General features: G+C 33.3%; 1 protein-coding gene across 1 annotated transcript in view; it reads right to left on the reverse strand.

Moving 5' to 3' along the window:
- PCDH15 (protocadherin related 15) overlaps window positions 1-25,250 on the reverse strand; it is a 1,825,172-nt gene that overhangs the window by 1,344,178 nt on the left and 455,744 nt on the right. Inside the window, exon 3 of the mRNA NM_001354404.2 lies at window positions 19,628-19,703. The gene's annotated coding sequence lies outside the window, so the exon portion shown is untranslated. The remainder of the gene's footprint in view (window positions 1-19,627; window positions 19,704-25,250) is intronic.

A 25,250-nucleotide genomic window follows, 5' to 3' on the forward strand; every position in this document is an offset into this window, starting at 1 on the left:
AATGCAAAACAAAGAAATAATCTATTTTAAAAAGAATCTATTTTATTACTTTAAAATTTATTTATTTTAAATTGTTTTAAAACAAGAACAATTACCAATTGAGCAATTTATTTATTAGCAGTTGTTATTAGAAAATAAATTACAATTTTAAATTTAGATGAAAATATAATGATTAATGAAAGAAGATATATTTAACAATATAAATAGAATATATTATATGACTGGTGTGTCTAGACTTTTAAAATCACCAGTGGTCAATTGTACTTTCTGGATTTGCTATGAGTTGAGGATAAATAATCCCATGGCTTATAAAATTGACAAAAAAAAGAAAAGAAGTAAAATTAAGTATTTTCATAGCTATTTTAGAAAAAAATTCTTCACATATATGTAGTGTACCATTGTATAATGCAGAAAAATAGATAATAGTAACATAACATATAATTCATCAAATATACAATGTTACATCTTATTTTCCATAATTTTTAAAAGCACCTAATTTCAATTTTTAAAAAAAATTTTTTTGGAATGAAAATATTTTGCACGTATCTAGAAAATACAAAGTCCTGTAAAAGTGTTCAGTTTCTGGACTTTAGGGTAGACAGGTTCAAATAAGTTCATATATCCTTCTTTTCTTTCTTTCCTCCTTATGTCTCTCTTTGACTCCTTTGTCTAAGTCTCCTTTTCTCCCTATCTTTCCTCTTCCTTTTTTTTTTAAATTTTATTATTATTATACTTTAAGTTTTAGGGTACATGTGCACAATGTGCAGGTTAGTTACATATGTATACATGTGCCATGCTGGTGTGCTGCACCAATTAACTCGTTATTTAGCATTAGGTATATCTCCTCTTTCTTCTTATGTTCCTCCTCCTTCTCCTCTTCCTCCTTTTTCTCCTCTTCCTGTCTATCTTTCTGTTTAAGCCCTCACCTCCACTAGATACTCTTCAATTTTGAGGATTAGATTTTCATATTTCATTTGCTTCTCCCTTGGTAACTCAGTAGTAATTACTGCTTTCTAAAATATAGTTTCCCAAAAGGGGGGAAAATACCCTTTCTTCCTCAACTCTACCTGTATTGTCTTTTGCTCCATTTAATCATGTCCTGTAAATATGCTTAAAGCTAAAGAAAATATTTTAACAGAAAAAAATTCTGTATCTTACAGGCGATGATGGGCTTTCTACTTCCACTATCACATAGTACTGAAAATGCTACTTAATATCCCCTGTTTCTTGTACTTCAACATTCTCCCAAACAAAATTTCTTACTACATGTTAGGAAAAGAGTGGCAAAACATTTTCGTTTGAGTTGAGGTATTAATATTTATGAACAGATTGAGATTTCCTCAAAATGTAGTAAGAACATTTATTAACTGGCCCAGAAGATAGTAAGTCACAAAGTAACCATAAAAGTGAGGTACATAAATCAAGTAGAGATTAAAGCTCATTGACAAATTCTTAACATTTTTCTGACGTTGTGGACTAGGACCTATGGGATTCGTCCATTACTCAAGAGAACTATATCATCATATTAACTCATTTAAATTAATAGGGACTATTTCAGTTTACAACCCAGGGAATGGTTGACCTTCTTTGCAAGATCCACCCCATGATTTCATCGTGGCTGGTTAAGATTAGTATTAAAATTTAACCTTTCAGATCTACAATTAAATGTAAGTTACAGCACTTAAGTTTGGTAGCATATAAAGTTTCACTATGAAAAATGTGTTTCCACATTTTATTGGAAAATCTATGTCATTTAATTGTTTGAAGGACAAAGCACTGATAATGTCTGTTAAGATTTCACTCTTTTTCCCTTAAGCAAACCTTCAAAAGTCAAATCTTATATATAAAACATGAGAATTTTATACAGCAGTCTATTTCAACAAAATTATATATATTATATAAATATATATTATATATAATGGGTTTTCAGCAAGATTTCTTGAAATTGAAACTCCAATAAAGTTAATGACAGAATTTTAAGACAAATACTGATTACATCTTAGACACTAAAGAGGAATAAAACTTAGGGGAACTTGCCTGCTATATTCACATCAATGTAATCTTTATTATCTTAGATGAAAATGCAGGGAATATCTAGCTTTTGACATTAAATCTCAAAGACTAGAAATGATAGATACAAACATAAAATGTAGTGGTTAAAAAATAAGCAATATTGCTTAAACACATTTCAATATGTCTATCTAGTTTATAATAACTTAAATGACAGAAAACATGATTATTTGCAAAGTATTAGAAATGGAGCAGTCTTTCAATAAATGCTTCTAAGTTAATTAAAAATAAATGTTAATAAATATTCAAATACTTAAAAAATATTCTAGCACTTATTTAATAATTTTTACATAAAACATACATTTTCTTTATTCAATGAAAGCCTTAAAATGTTGGTAATATTATAAATATTACCAAAAACGTATAACCTTTTAAAAAATATATACTTACACATATAGTATCAATTTGAAAATTAGAAGGCAGAATACAACAGTAAAGTAAAATCGTTTTATGCATATTTAACAAAAAGGATGACTTGTTATTACATGGGGGGAAACTTATTTCCATCTATAACAGTTAGAAATCTATGTTGACAGTGACAGAAATAAATGATTAAAACCAGTTTGGACAGTCAAATAAATTTATGGCTTCATATACTGAAGGTTCCCATAGAAGTTTAATATCTGATATCCAATTCTTGAGTCGTTTTCAGGTTTTCACCAGGGAGAGATATCTTTTTCTCTTCCTTTCTCAGATATGCTTCTTTGGTGTTAACCTCCAAGAAGACGTCAACCTTTTTTTGAGCTACTTTTAGGTTCTATTCTAGTTTCAAAAGCCCCAGAAATTCTGACCAATTGACTGTGACCATCTGGAAATACATCATGTTCTTAATGTTCTCAATCTTAAATTATGGTCAAGAGAATGGTATGTACATATTGGATTACAATTATTAAACACTGAGGGCCTTCACCTGAAAATTGGGAGCATTCTCACCCAAACACATGCTGGAAAAGCTAGTCCAACTTGGTGGGGGAGGGAGACAGAGACAGCGAGAGTGAGCAGAGAGAGAGAGATAAAGAAGAGAAGAGAGAGAGAGAAGTGAAGAGGAGAGGAGGGGGAGGGGAGGGGAGGAAAAGATAGAAGACGAGAGGAGAGAAGAGAAGAGGAGAGAAGACAAGAGAAGAGGAGAGAAAATGCACTGAATGGATACTCTGGAGAGGCAACAGCCAATCGGCCAACCTGAAAATCTGCCAATTCAATTTGACAGCTGCCAATCCAAGGGGGTTCAGGAAAAACAAAACATGTTTTAATGAGAAAACAATGTCAGTTACTGAAAAGATATACACAAGATAAATGGCCTGCAAAAACAGAATTTCTGAAAGCTCTGTGATACTATCAGCCTTCCAATTTTTATGTTGTTTGCTTTTTGGCACCAGCAAAGTCAAAATAAAGAGTAATTGAAAACTTGGTTATTTAAAGTCCAAAATAGAGAAATAGGGGTTCTCCCCCGCCAAATATTGTGTATTTTATAGTTACAGTCTATTTATACAAAAATATATTCCACAGGTGAATGATTCAATTATTTGCACATACTAAAACTATAAATTTGATATGATTTCACAACTGGAGGGTAAAAATTATGGTCTGTTTACCAGCAACTTATGTAACCATATAACATTGAGAAGCCAGTATAATGCGTAATAATGACAATGTCATGATATTTCTCTTAAATGCAGTACTCCTTGACGGTAGAGATATATAAATTACAATTAAAATATCTTAAAAAATGTTAATCATCATTGGAATTCAAGTTTTACTAGTAGTTGCTCAGAAAGAAAATACAAGCAGTGAGTGTAATATTGTTAATGCTTTACACAGCAGGAATGGAAAGCCAAGAGCTCTCAGTTACATTTTGAAGCTGTTTAATACTAAAATAAGAAAATTAAATGCAACGCATGGCTGAATAGTAACTGAGACACTGTGGAATTCCAATTTCACATTTGCAGCCAATTTATCTCTTCATCCTTCTGAAGTAGATAAATTGAATATCACAGTTAATAGTAGGATAGTACTTTTGAGTAAAGCCAAGTATTTGCCTATTCAACAATGATACAGATTCCATTGTGCCTTTCGTAGATCCCACGGCATATTCTTTAAGAGCAAAAATTAAAAAGAGGAGACAAATTTGCCAGATATGTTCCCCTCTTAATTGTCTTATCTGGCAGAGAGTAATTTCTGTCATTTCTCTAATCCAGAAAAGATGTATTTTGAGTCTATTGAAAATTTACATTTAAGTACTTGGTAATTGTATAATGTTTTTCAAGTGACAGAAAAGTGGAATTGACTAATTTTTTCTTCAAAAACTTTGAGCACATATGCATCCTCAAAATTAAAATGATAAGGAATTGGAGAAATAAGAGCTAAGTATTCTATTAAGTGACTTTATATATGAAAGTTTTAAAAATTGAGGCTCTCACTAGCCAGATAATTACTTGACTAATAAATACTAGTGATCTAAAAATACACAAGAATGTAGATATTCATTAGTTAACTCTTTTCCAGTTTTGTGGTTTATGTAGCAATTTAACAGACAGGCAAAATACCTTCAGACCTTCAATAAGATGATACTTCACTGTCTTAAATTTATTCTGGAATAACCAAAGGTAAAAATTTAATAGTGAATCACAGAGCCTACTCTATCACATGACCATGTGGTAAGATCAAACAGATTTTTGCAGACTAACATTTCCAGAATGTTGTATTTTTAAATAAAATATAACTGACTTTTATTATGTTTCTGTTTAATATTAAGATAATGTTAAGAACTGATGATATAAAGAATGAAAAGCCATGATTCCAATTCTCAAAGATTTTAGGATTTAGTAGAAATGACACATGTAAATAGATGAGAAGAATACCAGGTGATAAGGATAAAGACAGGATATAGAAAGGATGTGTTTTTTTATTAACAAGGATGAGAGGTAAATCAGGGAAGAAGTAATGACTGAGTTGAACTGTGAGTGCTATAGGAGACTTTGTTATGTGGATGAAAGAGATGAGGGTAGATGTGGATGGGATGGTAAAAGAGTCATTCCAGTAAGACAAGCACACAGAGTCTTGGTCATATTAGGTTTTCTTACAATTATAAATATAGATCGCTTTTCTGAAATTCTTGATTACAGATGGGTGCCAAAATTCAGATGTTTTTAAAAAGTAATATATTTCATAAACTGAATATAACATCTCATTCAGATGTAGTCTGAAGCTACATCTCATAATCAAACATAATATTTCTACAGTGAAACATGAATATTTACCTCATGTGGATAAATACAGTCAAAATGAGTCACATAATAGGTCCGTATAGGTTTTGCCATGTGGCAAATTACCAAAAAAAAATCTGTGCTTAGGATTTTTTCTAGTTTTGAAAATTTGAATAAGTGACTATAGACCTATAATTACTCAATTCATTTTAATGGGTATATAATTTTTAAAAATGAAAAGAGAAAATGGTGGCAGATAAATTGGAGAATATAGCAGAAGCTTGAGGTCATAGAGCAGATAAATGTTAGAGCCAAGGTTTAAAATGAATAAGATTAAGACATAAGTCAATCTTTCCTGCTAGATGACACAGGTCTTATGTGTAGGATGATCTGAAAGCTAGAAGGATCTTCAGGGGATTATTGGACATGATTCTAATGAGAGATGATGAGAACTTGAACTGTGATAGAGAAGACAGGTTCAAGAAAATAGGAAGAGTTAGATATCTTAATTTGATATTTAAAAAGAAATTTACATTTGCCCTAAGACTGCAGTTAGCAATTGAATAGAAAAATAATTGTAATATTTTAACTTAAATTCAATGACTATATCATAAAATAAAAAAGCATAGCACTGTTGTGATTATGTGTATGGACACATACACACACACAATAATTATGTAAATTACATAACTTGGTTAAGGTTAAAGATATAACTCCCTCTCACCACCATGAATTTTTTTTTTAATGTAGGTATAGGTAACTTTGTGTTTAGAAAGCCATAACTAATAAATAATATACAAGTAATTTTTTAAAGATACAAAATATGGTTAAATCCAAGATAACAAATTATCATTATGTTAATACTTTACTTTGAAAGGTGTCATTATTTTCAAGACGTATCATTTAACTGATCTACTTTATCTAGTTACCCACACCTATGACTTCCATAAGTGAAATGTCTTTATCAGTGAAAACAAAACTAGCCTGGATAAATGGAGTAGGATTGAAGACCTAAACAAAAAGCCATTCTTGAGCTGCCCAGGTTGTGTCCTGCCCACAGTGGCCCCCAAGATCACCTGAGTGGGAGGTGAAATCCAGCCTGCTCTTCCCTTCACCAAGTTGCTCACCTTGACACGGGCTGCATCAGCCTGGAGGACAGGCTGCCTCTCCCAAGTGGTTCTGCCATAATGGCTGAAATTTTGTAATCATTACTGGGTGAAGCAGAATGCAATTTTTCACCTTTGTAGTGGGCGTATAATTTATAACAATAAAAAGAGAAAATGATGGCAGATAAAATAGAGAGTATAGCAGAAGCTAGAAGTCATACAGCTCTTAATTGTTAAAGCCAAGACCCTCAGTGGAGGGTCTGTCAAAGGCACCTCAGTACTAATAGCCACTGGCGGCCTTGTGCTAAACTCCCCTTTACTTGTTCACTACCTTCATAGGTTTAAGGGCATCAAATACTGCTCCTTTTTCATTTGTCTTCCACAAAACCAGTTTCATGTAGTGAAAAGAACATGGGTATCACCAGCACTGGTGCTTGAGGTTCAAGAACATGAATGTCTAGGTTTGAGCTCTGACCTTGCCACTTTAGAGCCTAAATGTTGCCTTAGGCAATACACAGTATACTGAAGAAAAGACAAGTTCTACTTAAACAAGTCAGCAAAGCATTGTGAGCCAGAGTTGTCAAATCCTTATAAGGATGGAAACACATTTAAACATTTACAAATTGGCTTTCTCATTAAAAATACTTCAGTTCTGAAAATCACTAAATCTATATCTAAATTTGCATACTCAGAGTGAGAAATTACCATGTACACGTTCATTAAATGGGTCGCTCCTATACAATTTTCCTATTATACAGCCTAATTTCTGGCAGAACATTGAAGTACATTATTTGTACATATATTCAGATAATTTTAGAGACCACTAGGAGATAAATTGTTAAAGTGAAATCAATTTTTACACTACTTAAGTATGTAAAAAGAAAATATGAATTCATCTTTTACAGTGTTAGCATCTTATATATTTCATACTATAATGAAAACAAGTATAATATTAGTCAAAACAAATAAACTTTAAAAAATGAATTTGTAAAAGTCCGTTCATTTGTATTAGGGATAACGTGTATTCATGTATATGAATGGAGAACCCTGGGGCAAATCAAGAATAAAATATACAAAGGAGACTACTGGTACTCTATAGATAATCAGAAACAACAAATATAAATAGGCTCACACTACAAAAATAGACTTAATTACCTGTAAAATTTGGCTTACCGAAGCTTACTATGCTTAGTACTTGGTTAACAGTAAAGCAACTAGCTTTAAAGTTATCAGTTAGTGAAGGGTGCAGCAGCTACAAAGAGGATCAATAATACTATGCTTCATGCCATGTTAACAACCAGGCAGCATTCAGGGATTCCCTCATATAGTGCTATAGACCACTCTGAGGAATATGCATAGTGGATAATTGGGTGGAATCATAAAAGGGCAAATAGAATTTTCATCCCATATAAATATATAAATCAAGTATGCACATTTAAGAACTGCTAGGATATCACTACTGTCTGCTTTCTCCCTCTAATCAATTCTCTTTACATCAATGTAAATAAGTTAGTGTATCAGTGATAGTTGCTTTACCTCCTCTACCAGTTAGTTTCATTCAAGGTGTGGTTCTCAGATTGCAAGATGAAGTAATTCACACCCCTGACATACTTAAGAGTTTAATTGAACTTGTTGTGACATTAACAGCCTCCTGCTATAAAGCAACTATTTTTAGTTCTTGCAACCATCACAAGGGGACAAGACTGCTTCTGGCAGTACAGAGAGAAGAGATGGAATGTCAACCTATAGATGTAGTTAGGTATAATAGTATAGATACCACATTATTGCAATAAGGATTTTAGGAGGCAAACAATGAAATGGTCCAACATGATGAATGATAAAATGATAAGTAAGTGAGACATTACAGAATATATGTCTAAATGTTAGCAGCAGTTACTTCGGTGCAGTTACTTCAGTGGATTGTAATTACAGGTTTTTCTCTCTGTTTACTTTCTTATTGTTGTTTCAGATATAATTTTATTATTTATATGTTCTCTGTTTAATCTCGTCTTAGTTATTATGAAGTGTTATTTTGATAAAAATTTAGAAAACTGAAGAGAAGAATGGGTGAAATTTAATGAACACTAAAGTTCCAGGTTCTTGCACACATTTCTAAGACAGTGTTCACAGATTTGGCTGTGAGCTTTCTGGCAACCAATGCAAAAAAAAAAAAAAAGCAATAATAATAAATTATAAATAATTAATAAAAATATCATAGATCAGAAAAAGGAAGTACTTCAGGCTTCAGGCCTCATTTAGGGGCAAAGATAAGTATTTCTTGACAAGGTCTTTAAAAGTTGTGTTTGTAATAAATATTTTTAACAACCATCCTTTGATATAAACAGAAACATAATTATTGGGGCTGTTTCCTTAAAGAGTTTGTCTACATGAAACTATCCCAAGGATGCCAGAAGTACTCATCAAGTCCCTGATGAGTAAACTGACAATTCAGTGCACATAGTATGTCTATACAAAATAAAGAAGCAATGATCCTTACATAATGTTTTGTAAAACCAGCTTTTGATATATATTTTGCTGTAAAGATCAGCTATTAGCGATTTCTGACAAGGTACTTCAATAGAGATATTTTTCACTAAGCCTCCATTTACATGATTCAGCAGTCAACAAAGCCAGAGCTGCAGCTGAATCATCCTAGAGGAGCTGAAAGAAGACCTGCAAATGGATGGCAACAACACGTGATCACAGGAAACCCACGAAGAGAACAATGATTTCCCAGAAATAAAGGGGTCTATTTCATACATACAAAGGACCTACACTCCAATCCATTGCACAAATAATTTATATCTGCAAAATGTATGTATGGATAATGATCCTTCATGTGAAGCTTGAGGCTAAAATATACCAATGAAGCATTCAAGGAATATTTAGCTTTAGGAGGTTTCTATCTTGTTAAAACTTTTGGAAAAATTAAGAAAACATACGATTTTAGGAAAACTAATGAGATCATTGCCACACAGATATATTAAATAGGCTAGGGAAACAATGGAGGATATTACATGTACTGATGGTTGTGGTCTTTGGTATAGGTAAAGCAACTGTGGCCAGTTTTCCCTAAGGCGGCCTTCTTCTAGGTTGAATGGTAAGTAGTTGCTGATTTTTGACCAATTGGCACCTCCATGTGGCAGTTTTATGTGTTTTAACCTAATAGTTCATGAGGACAAATTTATTTTATTCACTCATGGGAGAATCTGTCTTTATGCTTTCTATCAGGAGTTAGAATCCAGGCAATAAATATACCTACGTGCACATGTAAAATTGACTCTCTTATTAGAGAAGTAGAATAGGTTTTACTTATTCCCACTCTGCATCTTTCTGATTTCAGTAGTTGCAATCTCTAGAGATCACTGTGATTATGGGTAAGATGATAATGACCTTATTCCAGAGGGGGAGTTTGTAACCTAAGCTAAGTCAATAAGCCCTACACACAATCATCTATTGGTTCAGAAATGGATATGTTACAATGGTGGGCTAAACAGAGAGAGGTTGGTGACTGTTGAAAGTGTTATGCATATAAATTTGAAAGTGGAATAGGATAGGCTGAGATTATGAGGGAAGACTGTCTTAAAATGAAGTCATGACCAATGAAGTAAAAGCTGACAGACAGTAATATCGCTAAACTCTTGGGTCAGCCCTTGCCTGAAGGCTGAAAGGAATTCTAGACCTTCAGATTCATAAGCCAATGAATATGCTGTATTCTGTGTGACAATTTTAGTTATGTTTTTATTACTTTCATAATAAAGTATCTTAACACATATGTGAAGGCAGTCATTCTATCTATATCTATCTATCTATCTATATAAAATCATTAAAAACATATTAAGAAGACATTTATGCATCCAACAGACACATGAAAAAATGCTCATCATCACTGGCCATCAGAGAAATGCAAATTAAAACCACAATGAGATACCATCTCACACCAGTTAGAATGGTGATCATTAAAAAGTCAGGAAACAACAGGTGCTGGAGAGGATGTGGAGAAATAGGAACACTTTTACACTGTTGGTGGGACTGTAAACTAGTTCAACCATTGTGGAAGACAGTGTGGCGATTCCTCAGGGATCTAGAACTAGAAATACCATTTGACCCAGCCATCCCATTACTGGGTATATACCCAAAGGATTATAAATCATGCTGCTATAAAGACACATGCACACGTATGTTTATTGCGGCACTATTCACAATAGCAAAGACTTGGAACCAACCCAAATGTCCAACAATGATAGACTGGATTAAGAAAATGTGGCACATATACACCATGGAATACTATGTAGCCATAAAAAATGATGAGTTCATGTCCTTTGTAGGGACATGGATGAAGCTGGAAACCATCATTCCTAGCAAACTATCACAAGGACAGAAAACCAAACATCACATGTTCTCACTCATAGGTGGGAATTGAACAATGAGAACACTTGGACACAGGAAGGGGTACATCACACACTGGGGCCTGCTGTGGGGTGGGGGAAGGGGGGAGGGATAGCATTAGGAGATATACCTAATGTAAATGACGAGTAAATGGGTGCAGCACACCAACATGCCACATGTATACATATGTAACAAACATGCATGTTGTGCACATGTACCCTAGAACTTAAAGGATAATTTAAAAAATAAATAAATTAACATAAATACATAAATATTGTGCAAACTATTGGTAAATTTATTATGCTCTATAGTTCCAAAACAATTTAGATTCAAAATCACACAAATATGTGTGTATGTGTGTGTATATATATATATATATATACACATATCTTTTATAATTATTAAGTTGCCACTCTAGAAGTGAAGAAATTCATGTTTTATACTCACACACACACGCACACACATTTGTATGTATACAAATTATATTTCTTCTCTTCTAGAATGGCAACTTAATAATTATGAAAATGTTATATGCAGCTAGTGGTAATGAGTGCTGGGTTTGGATTTCTGATCTGGTATATGGATACTAATGCTTTGGGATTCTACTAATGTGTTAGATGTAAACAGATGTGAGACAGAAGTAAAGTGGTAGGTGGGGGTGATGGGGAATAATATTACTGACATTCCACATTTTAAACATTTCCAAATCCTCTGTTACCTTGTGAGGGGAAATCTTCATTCTTAATGACCCAAAAGTTATTTCAGCCATTGATTATATTCCAAGACAGAAGTGCCTCCACCACCAGTTTCTCTAGTTGTGGTATGAACCTCAATGTTCAGACAAACTGAATAACAGCTGATTATAACTGACAGGCTTTCAGAGGGTCTGGGGTCAAAAATAAAAGCTTTTAAAGTGACAAATACATGAAATCATTAAAGAAGTGGTACCTAGTAGCATGATTCAATTTGTTCTAAGTAAAAAAAAAAAAGAAAGAAAGAAAAAGAAAAAAGAAAAAAACAAACTGAGTAACAGAAGCCAGAAGCTGTCAGAGGCACTTGATATATTTCTGTGATGGCATTTGTAATCTCAAGGGATTGAGCAGGGAGCTTTATGTGGAAATGTGTGTGGGGTGTGTGTGTCAGAAAGAAAGGGAGAGAGGGAGGGAGAAGAGAGAGAGAGAGAAAAAACAAGAGCTCAAGATATAGACAGAGAAGTGCTAAAGTGTTTTGCTGTTTGATGAAGCAATTTTTAAAATATCACCTAATTTGGGCCTTGCAACAAACCTACGCAGTGTGAAGGGCAGTTATTATTATCCTCATTTTAAAAATGATGAAAGGGAGGCTGATGTCCTCAGTGGCTAAATGACTTTAGTACAGACAAATAGCTAGTGAATGGTGGTCTTGGGATTATATTTCAGATCTTCTGACTGCAAAGTCCTTAAAAGTTTTACAACTCCTTCATATTATAATGCACCACTCATAAAAAAAATTAAATCTAAAAAGCTGCTAATATGGTTTCAAATGGAATATTTTGTCACATCCTAGACTGATAAATCCAGTTGTATCTATCTATATATAGTTATATATATATCTCTTCAAATTTCCTTTAGGAGGTAAGATTACCATATCTATCTATCTATCTATCTATCTATCTATATATATATATATATATACACACATACACATTATATATATTATAAAGATATATATCTATATCTACCTATACATACACTATACAAAGATCTCTCTCTCTATGTTATGTACACACACACATACACACACACACATATACACACACACAACTAGATTTGTTAGACTAGGACGTGACAAAATAAATATAACCTGGTAAATTTATTGAGAGAGAAAAGAAAAACTGTCTTTTGTAAATGTGTAAATAAATATATATATATCTTAAAGAGATATATATAAAGAGATAAAGAGATATAATTATATATCTTTATAAAGAGATATATTTCTTAAGATATATCTATATTATATATAGATATTGTATATTATGTATATATTTTAAAGAGATATATAAAGATATATGTGTAAGTACATATTAAGAGATATATATAAAGATATAATATATATAAAACATATATATTACATCTTTGTTTATCCTTTTGCAAACGACGGTTTTTTTTTCCTCTCTCAATAAAATTATCAGGTTATATTTATTAAGGTGAAAAATAAATATATGAAGTAGTTTGCCTAAAACCATCTTATGTGCTTCTGAACTTTCTCATAAAACACTTAAACATTTATTTGGACACCTTTAGGCATCTTTAAAGCTACTCCAAATCTTCTTCTACCCTTTCAATTCCCCCATGAAAGAGAATAAAGCCAAATAATTGTTGTCTCTGTTTCGCTACCAGTGAGAAGCGGCCCTGTGATCCAGTTCTGGGTCATAAAATATCAATGTAAAAATTTGTGCTTCTGAGAAAGTTTGGCTTTCTCACAGTAAAGAGGAAAGCTTTCGTACAGATTTTACTTTTTTCTTGCTTTAAATTTGAGCACAATGACTAGAGAGTCAGCAGTAATCTCTCCACCTAAAGGAAAGTTGAAAGCAATCCGGGAGGCAGCCCTGACATGTTTGCACTACTGAAAACATACTAGCAACTGCCATCCTCTGGATTTGTCTTGGTGGGAGGTGGAGGCAGAGGGAAGGGAGGTGTTGTAGGTTTTACTGTTTATATTCATTCACATCTGAAATATCCAAATAATGCTTTTTTTGGTCCCCAAAACTCTCGAAACTACTTAACACATGTGCTATGTCACTGCTTAGGACAGACAATATTAACAGCATCATCAGGCATTTTAAATATGCACCATTCTTACCTAAGGGCAAATGGGCCCCTCTCAATCAAAGAATGAAAGGAGTCCCTATCATGCTAACGTTCTTCAGCACCTTTGCATTTCTGTTGCATCAAGTATATGGCACCTTATAAGCATCTTGTTGATGCAGACTGACTTTTCAGACTAACGCTATATGCTCCTGCTAAGTGACTATTTGCTACCATCGCCACCTCCTTTTCCTTATTTATGCTCTTCCATCTAGCAGCAATACTTTCTCATAATTTTCTCCTCTGTAGCACTGCCTGTTGACGTCTAGGAATACTCTTTACAAGCTTATCTACAGCAATATCTCTTATTTAAAGCCTTGCCTGCATTATCTGTCATTTAAAGCCTTGCCTGGTACTTGTAACCAAAATTATGTTCTTCCTTTTAATCTCCCTGGGGAAATTGTTACTGCTCATGTGGCATTAATATCACACATTTTCTCATATTATTACGTGCAGTAGACACATTCCTTGTCATTTGCAAAATTATCACCCTCACTCCCAGTAGACCATAGAGCTCGTTCCCTGAGGGCAGGAAGAGTATGTGATTCACTTTCCATAGTCATACAGTATATACCACAAAGGTGATAGGGGTGGGATAGCTATGGGTACCAAGGCTGAAAGAGTTTATTCTCTGCAAAAAGTTATTCCCTTCTTCATGCCCTCCTCTACTGCTACAAATTTCTCAAGAATGAGAATAAGCAAAGAGGAAGGGCTATCTTATGGATACAATTTTAGAGAGTTTGAGATTTAAGTACAAAATCTAAAACAGAGATTTCCAAATCAGACATTTTTTAAAACTACCTCTGCATAATATTGGCGGGGGTTGGAAAATTCCAGCACACAGGCCAAATCCAGCCCAGTGGGCTGATTTGATAAAGTTTTATTGGAACCCAGCCACATATTTGTTTCTATAATATCTAAATCTGCTTTTGCACTATAAAGGAAGAGTTGAGTAGATGCCAGAGAGACCCATACAGCCTGCAAAGCCCAAACTATTTACCCTCTTGCCCTTTATAGAAAAACTTTGCAAACTGTTATTAGGAAGGTTATAAAACAATGTTAGAAAAACAAATTTTTAGCATTTTTCTTGATGGCAGAACTTCTCTAACCCTTTCATTACTATTACAAATTTTCATATCATTTTCCTGAGCTGTCAAAATTATTTCCACCACAGAAAAATTTTTAACGGACCTTATCTTCTCAGGACAAGTGATCTGAGGATCGCATTTGGCAAATGCTGCTTTAACAAAGTGCAAGAAAAAACAATTGTTAAAATGATTTGCAGGTTTCTCTTCAAGTAATTGCCTCATCTGTTAATATTCAACCCTGTGAATGCGCTTATTATTCTAGTAATTTTCTAGGACACAATTAAGCCACATAGAAAACTGTTGTGGCCCATGATAAAAGAAATACTTAAGCTCCCTTCAGATAAAAAGTTACAGCATACCTTGTGCTATAAACAAGTTAGGTGGTAATTATCTGAGTGATGTGGATAATTAACATCAAAACAGCAGCAAATGTACTTGAGGGAGAATCTATGATGCTGGACTTAAATTATTTAATCTAATTTAAATGGAGTCAGGAATACCAGACTTTAGATACATTAATGTGGATAGATCACACAGTTATAAGTTCCGTTAGATGTAGAACTTCCCGTATTTGCTTATAGTTCTTAAATTACTTTCTTTAACCTCAGTGTTTTCCCTTAGAAACTATGGTTGGTCTCATTTATATCCCTTCTAAAATAACTATGTTTCTTTAACTTGAATAAACATAGTGTTGATGTAAAAAGGTACTAAAACAAAATGTATTTTTTTCCAGAAGTTTTAGAATTGTGCACAAATTATTTAGTGATCAAATTCATTTAACCGAACAGTAGGGAAACTGCCTTTGCAAAAATGGTAACAGGGAGAAAATTATGACAGTGAAAGAGATCTGACCTAACCAACTCCATCTTGCCTTTAACCTCTAAATTGCCCTTAGTCATTCCTGGGCATGGGCCAAGCTAACTTTGGGAGACATTTAGTTTATAGTTTACATGATAATAGTCCTTCCCAGAAACTAAACTGCCTTTGTAAAACTAATGAAAGTCCACCAGGTTAGGAGGCTGAGAAGCGCCTGAATATTGCTAAGACTCCTGTCTTGGGGTCTGGATTGCGACCTCTTTCTGGTAATATAACCTCAGACCAGATGTCTTCCTATTGTCAATGGAGAGGCAGCATGATGCAGTAGAACCTACTATGGCTGTGAAGTCAGACCCAGGTTTGAGTCTCAGTCCCTCTGCTTAGTATTACACAACTTAGGCTTAAACAATTACCAGTCATTGTTCTAGAGGTTACAAGAGCTGCAACTTCTCTAATTATTTTTGTAATTAACATCACTATTTCAGAACCTAAGATTTGCTTTTTAAGGTGGTTCTACAGACTTTTGCATTTCTGACAACCTGATGACTCCACCCAGGCCAGGGACTATTCTGTGGCTCCAACTCAGAAGCACACTCAGTCCAGAAGGACCATTTTCCACACCTTATCAACCAATCAGCAATTTTCCTAGCCCTCTGCCTGCCAAACTGTCCTTGAAAAGCCCTAGCCTCCACATTTTGTGGGAGGCTGATCTGAGTAGTAATAAAACTTTAGTCTCTCGTTTAGCCAGCTCTACATGTATTAAACTCTCTCTATTGTAACTCCCCTATCTTGATAAATCAGCTATATCTGGGCAAGATGAACCCATTGGGTGGTTAGATAGGTCCACAAGGAATTATAACTATGCTGATGCATGTATACTCCAAAGAGACTACTTAGAACTATCTCACAAAGTTATATTCAATATATAAAGACCCACAGCCTCAGATTTATACATCATGAAAACTTATTGATTTTATCAGAGGCATTCGAACCAAAGAGACTCCGTTATGAAGAGGGGCTGGGAAAAATAAGGCTAAGACCTATTGGGCTGCATACCCAGGAGATTAGACCTTCTCAGTCACAGGATGAGAAAGGATGTTAGCTCAAACTACAGGTCACAAAAACCCAGCTGTTAAAACAGATTACGGTAAAGAAGCTGCCAAACAAAATCTGCCCAAACCAAGATGGTGAAGAAAGTCACCTCTGGTCATCCTCAGTAGTCATTATTCACTAATTATAATGCATTAGCATGCTAAAAGACACTCCCACCAGAGCCATGACAGCTTACAAATGCCATGGCAACATTTGGAAGTTGCCCTATATGGTCTAAAACGGCAGGGAGGAACCCTCAGTTCCAGGAATTGCCCGCCCCTTTCCTGGAACACTCATGAGTAATCTACCCCTTGTTTAGCGCATGATCAAGAAATAACTGTTAAGTATACTCAGTTAAGCAGCTCATGCCACTGCTCTGCCTATGGAGTAGCAATTCTTTATTCCTTTACTTTCTTAATAAATCAATTCTTGTACAAGGGTCAAGAACCTTCTCTTGGGGTCTGGATTGGGACCCCTTTCCGGTTACATAACCCCAGACCAGAGGCCTTCCTGTTGTCAACGGTGAGGCCACACGATGCAGTAGAGCCTACTATGGCTGCGGAGTCAGACCCAAGTTTGAGTCTCAGTCTCTGTTTCGTATTACACAACTTAAGCCTTTACATGAGAAAAAATATCTGACAAATAAAGTTGGAGTACTTGAGTACAGATACTAAAGGAACTTTATCTCGTATTTTCTCAGTCAGTGGTATAACTGGGTTTCACCTATTCAACATAAAATGTATTTTTTTTTTTAAATATTCTTTTTGGTCAATGTTTTGTTTCCTTGACCTGTTAAGACAACTGAGAACATCATTAATAATACCTATCAATGTAAAATGTTGTTTTGAATAATTTATCTGTTAAATATATTTATTTAATATAATTATAATAAGAATTTTAAAGATATATAAGATATACAAAATGCTGTAAGAAAAATAATTAAGTAATACAATTGGAGTAAAAAAGTAACATCTTAGGTTAAGTAATTGAAATAAGTATTGAGGATATTTCTGCAAAATTACCAAAGTTGTTCATAATTTTCATAATTCATGCTCTTGTTGATTTATTACATAACAACAGTATTTTAATTGTCCAAGGAGAGAAACAGATTTTCTTTGTACTAATGTCAGGACAAAAATAGAAATCACAAAATCTCAAAAAGGAAAAACTAAAGATGTCTTATGTTTTTCATGACTACCATTTTACACCTCTGATGAAACTGAATCAAAATGGCCTCATCATTATTAGTCATCATTTGTACACACTCTTACTACGCAAGCGGATTGAAAAGGTGTACGTGTAGAGTACTTACCCTAATCCTTCAAGGAATTTCTTACACAGAAGGGTAGAGAATTGAGAACTGTTACATATTAGAGTGTTTGTATTGGAAATTTTGATACTGGTCTATAATTATCTATTTATCTATCCGTCATCTATCCATTTGTGCATATGAAAACATATGAACCTATATGGTATTAATAATTATTAAATAATAAGCTGTTTGTGCTACATTTTTATTTGAATGTCCTGAAAGAAAGTTTATCATAAACTCACCTGAACTCTAAATAGCAAGAATCTTGGGGACATGAAAATTTTGTCTTTTCAAGTATTCGTTTCATGATTTTGTATACTCAACAAACGATGAAATTATAACTTTAAAACAATTTCATGTGATTTTTTTGCATGAAAAAATTATATCTGAAATATATTGTTACATAGGAAATTAAATATGCATATATGAGGAATAAAATTATGGTTGAAAAATATAAAGCCTAAGGCTCAGCCTCAAATCTGTTTAAGTGTACTGACACAGAAATGTCTTAGGTACGCAGAGAAGGACCTATAGCACTTTTAAAACTTGAGCATATTATTTAAAATATAATTTATTATTACTAAAAGAGAATGTTATTTCAAATCTTTATTTTTATAAAAACTCCACAAATCCCCCTGCAAAACAGCATTTTATACATTAAAAAGTATAAAATGGTAAAATTATTTTTATTTTTAGTATTTTAACATATTCAGTAGCAAATAGTAGTAAATGCCTACTTTGCCACAGCTTTATGATAAATGCTATTCATATACTCGTGGATGAAAGAGAGTTTTTTCATTTTTTCTGGAGCCAGGAGCAAGAGATAAATTAAGCAAGTATGATAAGCAGTCATGTGTTTATATACACATAACATATATGTGTATCATAAATTGCAAATTACAGTTATATATTTCTTCTTTAATAATATTTGATTTCCTTAAACATGTTCCAGTTCTGAGTTTTTATTTATAAATTTTATTCATTACTACCTTGATTTCATAGACATTATTCTATTTCTGTACCTTTTTCCATAAATTTCTATTTCGGATTCTATTTCAATGGATTTAAAACATTATAATACCACTAAAATACAATTCTCCTAACTTTCACTGAAGCTATTGTTACCCAAATTTTATTTTAATTTCTATTTTGTTGCTCCAATGTTATAAAAGCTATTTCTTCTGTAATTGAAGCACAAGCCTCACTTCAGAAACACATAAAAGAAAATTGATTTTCATCCTGAAAATGTCAAACTTCTGCCTATAATACTCAGCTATGGTTTTCTGAAACAACAAAGTTCAAAAAGAGCCATCGACCTGATGGCCCTTTGACACACAATGATGGATGCAATGTGTCTACTACTTTACTGCCAGAATGTTCTCTCCAAGAGAATGAAACAATCAATGAAGAATAATAAATCTAAACTGGGTAGAAGGTTTGCTTGTTTTAAATGTACTAAAAGAGAAACAACAGGTATTTCACTTCTCTAGGGAAAGACATTTATTTACTACTTGATTAACTATTTTCTCTCCGTCTAGCTTATGTGAATCCAACATAACATATATCTGCTTAAAGACATTGAGCAATGCCTGGAAATTTAATTCCATACACAGTTCTTGAACTTACTGTGAAATATAGATGTAATGTATTGTTATTCTTCAAAGGAGAAGGAAAAAATTATAAAGGAGGATACCACTTTACTCACCCTAGTGTCGTGTCCTTTTGTCAACCTCTAGGTCTGTCAACTTCAACTGTTTCTAGGGAATGATGTTTCCATTTTCCTGTAGAATAGAGTTATTGATCAATACCACATCAAAATCAAAGTCGTTACTCTAGTGCAAAACATAGGAGCAATTCATTTTCTTACAGATTATGATTATATTAAGATTTCTTGTGCTTAAAATAAATTCTTGCAAATTATCAAAAGTAAATGAGTAAAAGATTGCAAGAATCTTAAATATAAGTTTGGAAGTGGAAGACTTAAGTCTAATTTAAAACTTAACTCTTAGAATGCATATCTATGCCTCAGGTTATATTCTTTACCCAGGAAATGAAAAACCACTTCCACCTGCATATTTGGTATGACCAGAGTCTGCCATTTCACCAGTCTTAACAACGAAGCACTGCATAAATTCTCCTTAAATGACACTTCAAATATATGATGTTTTATGATATGGTGTACATATTCAAGACAATTAAGGACAATTATATAGATTGAAAGTTACTTTTGATTCCTTAGCATTTTTATTTTATTTTGTTTTGAGACAGGGTCTTGCCCTGTTGCCCAGATTGGAGTGCAGTGGCACAATCACAGCTCACTGCAGCCTCAACCACCTGGGCTCAAGCTATTCTCCCACCTCAGCCTCCCGAGTAGCTGGAACTACAGATATGTGCCACCATACTCAGGTCATTTTTATATTTTTTGTACAGTTTCGTAGTTTTGCCATGTTGCCCAGGCTTGTCTCAAACTTCTGGGCTCAAGTGATTCTCCCACCTTGGCCTCCAAAGGTGCTGGGCTTACAGGTGTGAGTCACCCAGCAATACAGCACTTTTGGATTTCAAAATTTTATACTATACCATTATTATTTTATACCAATAATTTTATTATTGCCACAGGGGCACAGCTTTTGTATTTATGCTTTGTCAAAGTAGAAATAAATTAATTTTATGATGATGTAATATAAAATTGAAGTTATAAAAGTTGTTAAGAAATTTTAACATTGGTATCTTTCTACTGTGTTTTGATTTCAAAGTTAGAGAACATGTCTCAATTATTCACATCTCTCATGCACATGTCAAGAAATAGGTACAGAAATAGATGGAAATAGCTATATTTTGTTTCAAACACACAAACATGTAGAATATAAAATTGACAGATGCATTTAATTTATGGAAAACAAAACAATGATTTATTTCTTACAACCAAAGTTTGGTTGTGATCTGCTGAATAAGTGGAAATAATTAGAAAGAATTGTTATTTTACAATGGTTCTAAGGTGAACTACATTAAATAACATCCTGAAAAAGGAGATGAATATTTATAAAAATCTAGCGCATATAAATTAAAATTTTAAAATACTTTCTTTTCATAGATATATAAAGATCTCTACATAAAATAAAAATTAAGAAATGCATACAAGTCAATTTTTATAATACTTTGGGGATTAATGTATATCTATCTTAAAGGAGAAAATAAATAGTACTATATTCAAAATATAAAAACAATAAGCAGTGTATTCAGCACTTTTTCACAATAAAATTTAAGCTTAATAGCAATATGTAAAACATAGCAGCAAATCCTTTCCAGACAAATTATGGATGAGGTGTGATGGGATCTTCTAAATATTTGCCACCACCACCCCTATCCCCGACCCCAAGCCCAGTGTGGCCCCTTGGTAGCATATGAGACAATTTTATACAACTCCAAGTTTCCATAGAACAAATTTGGAAAACTCTTGATATAAATCATTTTTAACATTCTTTAATAATGAAAGCTATAAAATGGATATTGCAAAGACTTAAGTAAAATTTTCTCAATTTGTTTAATCAACAATAACCACAATAGGAGGAAAGTTTATGCAGTGACCTCCTGACTGGACATTAGCTCTGAGTGTAGCATCAAACACCAGAAATAGCTAGATATTCCCCTAGGGGTTCTGTACATTTGTGAACAGTGCTGAACCTTCAATTAGCCTCATTCTAAGGAAGGCATTTTGCACTGTGCTTTGTGTCGATTTAGTAATACAGTGGGTGGCTTATGATTTCTGAGTCATCATTACACATTTCATAAAATATAGCAGAAATTGTAGATTTAAAAATTAACACTTAAAGCATTTAATGCCTTCAGGTCAGGGGATAAAAGATGAATGAAAGATTATCTTTTATGTGTACAGTATATGTAATTATGATTATATAAGAATTAATTTCATGTGATTGTGCACGCATTTTATCAATATAGTTCCAAAGACCAAATTATTACTTAAATGCTGACTTTTAAAACATTTCTGATACTCTAGATTTGGGGAGTTATAAATTAGATCTTAAATAGAGAGTGTAGGATTTCAATTAAACAAATAATTTATGTTTATAAAGATTGGAAAATAGGATAAAAGTCATATCTTAGAGTGAGTACCAACTCTCTGTGGTATTTCACTTATTGTGAATCTTAATTTTTAAAAACTTGTTTTTCTAGATTGATATTTCAACAGTACCGTTCTGGAGTTCTACCTAATACCGAAAATAAACATTTTTAACCGCTCTTAACTACTTCAATATTAGCTAGAATAAATAAGAAAAGAAGAGATTCTATTAATTTAAAGCATACAATTTCCCACGGATTGCTTTGGAAATGTGTGGTATAATGAACCTAAACTAGTATTAAAATGTAGTCATTGCACAGTGTATATATATTTGAAAACGTCGTGTTGCACACAGTAAACACAATTTTATCTGTCAATTAAAAAATCAATTGCTAAGAAATACATTGTTTCCTTTAAAAAATGTGTTATTCATGATTAATCTCTATGTTGTAGTAATACAGTATTTAACCAACAAGATTCATTATTTAACTACATTTCAACCCTTTAAAGGTGTCACTAAATGTGCAACAGCAGAAAGGTTTATACTGTGATCTAATTGAACACCATTCCACCTTCAACCAAACCTGAATAATCAATTAAAATTTATTAACATAAAAGCAGGTTTTATAAAAGGCAGTTTCAGTCTTCATAACCACTATCCACAAAAGGGCAATACTTTGATTTGTGAAGCCATAATTAAACACTAGAGAACTACAAATTGATACAAATATGAAACTACGTCATATGTTGCTATGTAAGTACAAGGGTGGTTGTAGGCATTTATATTACTAACTGCCAATTATCAGAGGTAATTACAATAAACAAAAAACAAATATGCACCTAGGTGTGAAGTGGAAATAGCAAACATTAGTATAATTAATTGAATTTTGAAAATCCTTAAGGATACCAAAATTAATGTGATTTAAATAATAAGAAGATTTACCTTTCTACATAAATAATGTTATTAACCATTAGTAGACATAAAATTCTATGAGTCAAATTCCATAGACTGTTACTTAAATTTACTGATAGAATAAAGGAAGGAAGGAAGGAAGGAAGGAAAGGAGGAGGAAGGACATTAAGTAGGCAGTGAGGGAAGGAGTAGAAGAGAACTTGATGCTTTACAATGCTACAGATTTTTTAATTTGAACCTACTTGAATTTTGAATGTTTTATTGTTGTTGATGTGGGTTTTGTTTTATTTGTTTTGCTTTTTGGTACAGTGTCTCACTCACTCTGTGACCCAGGCTGAAGTACAGTGGCATCATTATGGCTCACTACAGGCTTGACCTCCTGGGCTCAAGCAATCCTCCTGCCTCAGCCCCCCAGGTAGCTGAGAATACAGATGTATGCCACCATATTGGCTATTTAAAAAAAAAAATTGCAGAGACAAGTCTTGATATGTTGGCCAGTTCTGTTTCAAACTCCTTGGCTCAAGTGATCCTCTTGGCTAAGCCTCCCAAAGTGCTATGATTACAGGAATGAGCCACCGTGCCAGCCTTAAAGGTGTCTTAAAGCTGGAGAGATGATAATACCACTACCACCCCCTTTTCCGAATGAAGGAAAAGAGAAAAATGTGCTAAGAAATTTTTTAAAATGTGATTCCTAGTAGCAGGTATATGTACAGGGCACACTGGTAGAAAGCATAATTGATGGCCGAGTGCAGTGGCTTACACCTGTAATTCCAGCACTTTGGGAGGCTGAGGTGGGTGGATCACGAGGTCAGGAGTTCGAGACTAGCCTGACCAACATGGTGAAACCCCGTCTCCACTAAAAATACAAAAATTAGCTGGGCGTGGTGGCATGCGCCTGTAATCTCAGCTACACAGGAGGCTGAGGCAGGAGAATTCCTTGAACCTGGGAGGCGGAGGTTGCAGTGAGCCAAGATCGCACCATTGCACTCCAGCCTGGGCGACACAGGGAGACTCCATCTCAAAAAAAAGAAAAAAAGAAAAAGAAAAAGAAAGCGTAATTGATTTTTCTCTTAGTATATTTTCTTTTTTGGATTCCAGGATACCTCACTTCCTGATGTATCTCCTACATTTCTGGTTCCTTTTTTGCTGGTCCTTTCTCATTTCTCCATCTCTCAATAATAGAATGCCCTAGGGCACTGACCTTAACTTTCTTCTCATTTCTACATATAATAATATTCTAGCTGTTTTTATTCAACCTATGGAATTAAACATCATCTAAATCTCAAAAACACCAAAATTAGCATGTCAGTCTACTACCCTCCAGCTTTTTCCTTCACATCTAATTTAAGGTCTGTAGTCATGTCAAAATTAATATGGCCAATGCCAAGCTACTGATTCTTACAGCTCTTCTACTCTGTATAAATAGCAATTCTATTATTTCACCAGCTTAGGCCTAAATGATGCATTCATACACATGAAGCCTCAAAGTTAAAATTCACTATTTCTTGAATCTTTTTCATCCAACATTTCTATGTTCATGATATAGTCCCAAAGTCCTAATGACTCATAAATTGTGTTATTATTCTTTTCATCCTTCTAGTAACTTCATTCAGCTTAATGAAATCCCCACTTATTTTAGGCCACGATAATATAAGGCAGTGGAGGGGATTAAAATTAAAAAAACAACGACATAAAAGAAAAATGGAAAGAAATTTAAGATAATAAGGAGGGGGCCATCCTACTCTGCTATTTGGCATTTGACCAAGTTCTTTGCCTAATTACACTTTAATTTTCATATTTATATAGTAAGTATTTTGGTATGATTTCTAATATGTCTTTCAGATCTGTGATTCAAGACTACACAATTTTATGTCAGAAGTTGATACTGACTTCAAGAATTAATATTAGTCATTTGGTAGTAGATTGTTACATTAATAAGGATTTGATTAGTGATCTAGAAAAAAAATGCTATGTTCAAGATGTTGAATGGCTAAATAGTAGTGATGTACGCCAAACAATGTTCACATCAGCAGTATATTTAACCAGAAAAGAAAAAAAAAATCAATGCCAACAAGCTTTTATTAAAAATGCCTTCTTCAAACCAATAAATAATTTCAGAAATATGTTGGATATTACATTTCAAAACTTTTAGAAACAATAACATAAACTCTTCCTGGTTGCTGTGGAATGGATTTTATGACCACTTATCTTTATGTAAATCTAGAGATTTTTTCAAAAGATTAAAGTATTGTGCTTGCTTTTCTCAACACCATAAATAATATAAAATATAAATTGTCAAGAGAATAAATTTATATTTCATAAAAATGTCAGTATTAA

The sequence above is a fragment of the Homo sapiens genome, chromosome 10 (assembly GCF_000001405.40).
Source record: "Homo sapiens chromosome 10, GRCh38.p14 Primary Assembly".
Taxonomy (NCBI): Eukaryota; Metazoa; Chordata; class Mammalia; order Primates; family Hominidae; genus Homo; species Homo sapiens.